The sequence below is a fragment of the Homo sapiens genome, chromosome X (genome assembly GCF_000001405.40).
Source record: "Homo sapiens chromosome X, GRCh38.p14 Primary Assembly".
NCBI lineage: Eukaryota > Metazoa > Chordata > Mammalia > Primates > Hominidae > Homo > Homo sapiens.
The window spans coordinates 24,132,685-24,137,591 of record NC_000023.11 but is presented as its reverse complement, the minus strand read 5'-3'; the positions used below and the strand labels follow the sequence as shown (position 1 = coordinate 24,137,591).

General features: G+C 43.3%; 1 non-coding gene across 1 annotated transcript; it reads right to left on the bottom strand.

Annotated features, from left to right (window-relative positions):
• Positions 1-4,274: 4,274 nt before the first annotated feature.
• On the bottom strand, positions 4,275-4,406 carry LOC124900492 (small nucleolar RNA SNORA68). Its single transcript, XR_007068424.1, has one exon. It is a non-coding gene; the product is annotated as a small nucleolar RNA SNORA68 (small nucleolar RNA).
• Positions 4,407-4,907: the final 501 nt, after the last annotated feature.

Genomic DNA, 4,907 nt, shown 5'->3' with positions numbered 1-4,907 from the left:
CTTTAATTTCTATCTAAATACCACCTTTTATCACACAAGCTTTTTTTTTTTTTTTTTTTTTTTTTTTTAAGACAGAGTCTCACTCTGATGTCCAGGCTGCAGTGCAGTGGCACAGTCATGGCTCACTGCAGTCTCAACCTCCTTGGCTCAAGTCATCCTCTCACCTCTGCCTCCTAAACTGCTAGGATTACAGGCAGAGCTCCCACACCCAGCCCACACAACCTTTCATGGATTCTGTTCTGTTGCTGTTCAGCTCTAAGTATTTTGTAATTTTCTTTTCAGTTTCTTTTTTTAACCCAGTCATTATTTAGAAATGTTTTTAAATGTCCCTACTAGGGGCAGAGGAAGGTTATACTTTCATTCTATTATTTATACCAAATTTGATTTCTTGAAGCCAGATAATATGCTCTATATCAGTGCTGTTCAAACCATCTGCAGTGAAAAACCAATTTTAAAAAATTTTCCCATCTATTGCACACTGATATTTCTGTAAGATATAATAAAAATAAATCACTAGAAAAATAAAATTTTAAAATGATGTATAAAATACAAAGCCAAAGTTTTACTGTTAAAGGCAGCAGACATAAAAATATGTTATAAAAGTTTCTAAACACTCTCAATTTCTGTATTTATCTCATCACAGATGGGTAACAAAGAGTTCACTGACTGACACCGCTCTACAAACTATATTTGTAATGGCACTGGGGTTTCTACAATATATATAACATATAATACACAACTACCTTACATAATGACCCTTCAGTTAACATTTGCCAAAGCAGCTCTCGAAACTTATATCACCTTTTGAACAAAGACTCCTTTTTTTAATGACATAGTGACTTTTCACCCCCAACATATATTTAAATAAATATGCTAAAAGAAGTGATAATTCAACATTACAGCTTAATGCAAAAATATACTCACCAATTATAGGACATAAGAATTCCTAGTCAGAGACTATCATATGGAACGAATTTGGATCGTGCCCTGTGCTTCAATGAGCCGCAATGTGTTCTGCTTATTTATTTCTTTTAGCATACAGACATCAAGCAAAAGAAATAAACATCCCAAATTGAGAACAAAACAGGAAGAAGCAGCTGGCAGAACTGTGGAAAGTTTTGTAATTCTCGAAAAGGTAAGGCAAGCCAAGGACACAGTAAAATTAAAGTTTCAATGAAGTCTGAATTGTGCATACAAAACTTCAAAGTGCCCTGGCAACAGAGCTCCCACTTTATGGCAATAACATTACATTGTTCTTAAGAATTTCTGAGTTTGAAAAAATAAAAAATAATAAAATAAAATCATTATATTGAGGGAAAATATCACACAAAAACGAAGTAGGTATTAATAGTAAAGAGAGTCAGTATTATATGATCTCATCTGGTGAGGAGTTGGGGGTTTTCACCGTAAAGAATGACTTTGTGGGTAGACAAAAAATGGATTATGAAAAAAGGGTTAAACTGAGCCTGCACCCTGGAGCTGAGCTTCGCAAACTTTAATGTGCACACGAATCACCCACGGATGTTGTGGAAATACTCGTTCTGATTCAGGGGTCCAGGATAAGGCACGAGAGTCTGCGTTTCCAACAGGCTCTCAGTGCGGCCTTTGGAGCTGCTGGGCTACACAGCAGGGGTCTCTGGGATCCTGCAGAGCTGTTGCATTTCCCACTGGCTTTGCAGAAAGTCTGTGTCACCAAGTCCTATATCACCCACACCTGCCAGCACCACTGCTAGAAAGACAATGGGGGACCCAGACGAGGCAGAAACTCATTTCCCCTGGTGGCCTGTGGGAAGGAGCTGGGCTCGAGGCAGGAGGTGGCTTAAGATTCCTCCTCTGTCCCTTGGACGGCCCTTGGATGGAAGGTTGGGGTGGAACAAGGAGTCAACTGCTCTCATAATTAATACTTTCACCAAGGCCAAGCCCTGAGGAATTCCCACATTCGGAGGTGGAGGAGAGAGAAAATTATGAGAGAGATGACAGATACGGAGAACAGAGAATGCGGCACCAACACACAGATAGTTACCGTTCCTGGCCAAGAGATGCAATCATGAAAGAGCTTTGGAAACAATTTTCCTAAGCTTAAGAAAGATCAGTATCTGCAGACTGAAGGAATTTACCACATTTCAGGAGAATCAGCTACCTACACGTACACACATTTGGCAACAATTTTATTTTTTCTTTTTTTATTTTTGAGCAGAGTCTTGCTCTGTGGCCCAGGCTGCAGTGCATTGGCGCCACCTCGGCTCCCTGCAACCTCCGCCTCCCGGGTTCAAGCAATTCTCCTGCCTCAGCCTCCCAAGTAGCTGGGACTACAGGCACGTGCCACCACGGCTGGCTAATTTTTATACTTTTAGTAAGAGACGGGGTTTCACCATATTGGCCAGTCTGGGTTCGTACTCCTGGCCTCAAGTGATCCTCCCACCTTGGCCTCCCAAAGTGCTGGGATTACAGGCATGAGCCACTGCTCCAGGCCCAACAATTTTTAACTACAAGGAAAAAAACTCCTACACTCATTATGACAGGAGGAGACAGATCATCTTTTCTTGAGGACTTGCCTTGTGTCTGACACATACTTGGCGCTTTACACGAATTCTCTTATTTAAACCACACAGCATCCCAATAAAGTGGCGGCGCCAGCCTGGACGTTGGCTGGATGCAGGAACTCAACCCATGTTGTCGGGGTGCCTCTGCTCTCCAGCTGCTCAGCTCCGGTTGGTTCTTGTGGTAGCCTGAGCCTCTCCTACTGCAGACAGGCTTCCAGGTGAGGCCCAGGCAGCTCCAGGTTCACGTAATCCTAGCTCAGGAACCCCAGAAGGAAGAAAGAGTCTCCCTCCTGGTTTGCCCATAGAAGGACTCCTGTTGTCTTCAGGGTACATGCTCAACACTTAGATCCAGCACAGTGGCCAACAGAATTCAGTGAGATATTGGCAAGGGGGTGAAGCTGCTATGAATGCAAGTCCCACCTGAATCAAAAGGTTGGAGTGAAAAAAACCCAAACAACTAAAAGGGAGGAAGGATGGTTTGGCCAACAAATGCAAAGGGTCCACGAAAGGGAGGGTCTATGAGTTGCCCCACATTACAGGAGAGATCAACTTGTCCAAGGTCACACATCCAGTAAATGGGAGAGCCAGGACTCATACCAAGGCAGTCCAACCCCAGACTCTTAACCACCCTGCTCTAAGGAAACAAAGCCTCTTTGGTTTCAGAATTCTCTGCAACATTAGCTTTCAGAAGAAAATGGAGCAACAGCTGGACTTTCTGGAGAAAAAGATTGTAACTGAAGATTCATACACTCTGCCAAATTGTCTTTCACAATTTCAGGATAGCTAAAAAGCATTTAAACACACACCATGTGACAGGCACTGTTCTAAGTGCTTTATATGTATATTGAGCCATTCACTCCATGAACAACTCTATAATATAGGACTTCTTATCCTCATTTCACAAATGAGAAAACCAAAGCCCAAAGAAGTTAGGTAACTTACCTAAGAGTCAGGATTGAGCCTAGGCAGTCTGATCTTCTGAGCTCATGCTGTAAACTTCTCTGATCTCAGAATATGGGATGTCTCCTTTTATTTAAGCCTTCTTTAATTTATTTCAGCAATGTTTTGTGGTTTTCAGTCATTCTTTCTTCAAATATTTTCTCTTCTCCTTTCTCCTTTTCTTTTTCTAGTATTCCCATTACATGTATATTGGTGTGTGGTTAATGGTGTCCCAGATTTCTGTGAAGCTTCTAATTTTTCTTCATTCTTTTTCTCACTCTGTTCTTAAGATTGCATAATCTCTATTGATCTTCAAATTTACTGATTGTTTCTTTCTTTCTTTCTTTCTGTCTCTCTCTTCCTTCCTTCCTTTCTTTTTTTCTTTCTTGGCGTACCCGAGTTTATATGGGGCACACTGGGGTGAGAGGCCCCTGCAACTAGCAGAAGGTGTTGGTCCTCTTGGTAGTGAAGCATGGCTTGTGCTGATGGTGCAGGACGCGGTGGAGCAGCAGGAACTTGATGGATTTGTGGAACTGCACTTGCTGGCTGTAATCTCCTCCAGTGGGCCAGGGTGTGGTGCTGGGCACCCATGTCTAGGTCTCTAAAAAGGGGGAGGGAGCAGGGTAACCGCATTTCCTGGACTCTAGGCATTTGGCAAACCTCCTATCGAGTGCCTGTCCAGTGACCTGGTACATTCTGTCAGGCACAGCCATTGCCTGGGGGCGATGACTTGGGGCTGACTGGGGGGCCAGATGGCCACAGCCTCTGGTCCCAGCAGGCACTGGCCACCAGGGATGTAGAGCCTCTAAGTTCACTTTAAGGAGCATGGCCACAGCCACCAAAAGTAATGAGATTCGCTTGCTGTTTGCACCTTGTTTAAACCACCACTTCAAGAAACAGTGATTCTTTGGGTTTAGGTGCAAGTGATTCTTTTTTTTTTTTTAAGGGACAGCTGTCCCAGAGGGTAACACCAATTAATTTTGACACTTTTTTCTTTAGTGCATTATTATTATTTATTTATGACAGGGTGCCACTCTGTCACCCAGGCCAGAGTGCAGTGGCACACAATCTCGGTTCACTGCAACGTCTGCCTCCCAGGCTTAAGTGATCCTCCCACCTCAGCCTCCCGAGTAGCTGGGACTACAGGTCCACACCACCAAACCCAGCTAATTTTTCTATTTTTAGTAGAGACGGGTTTTCACCATGTTGGCCAGGCTGGTCTTGAACTCCTGACCTCAGGTGATCTGCTCACCTGGGCCTCCCAAAGTGCTGGGATTACAGACATGAGCCACTTTGCCCGGCCTCCTTCAACCCTTTAAACATGGTTTCGCCTGGTTTTTTGAATATATTTGTAATAGCTGCTTTGAAGTTTTGCTAAGTTCAACCCATTGACCCCTCAAAAGCAATTTCTATTGTGTGCTTTTT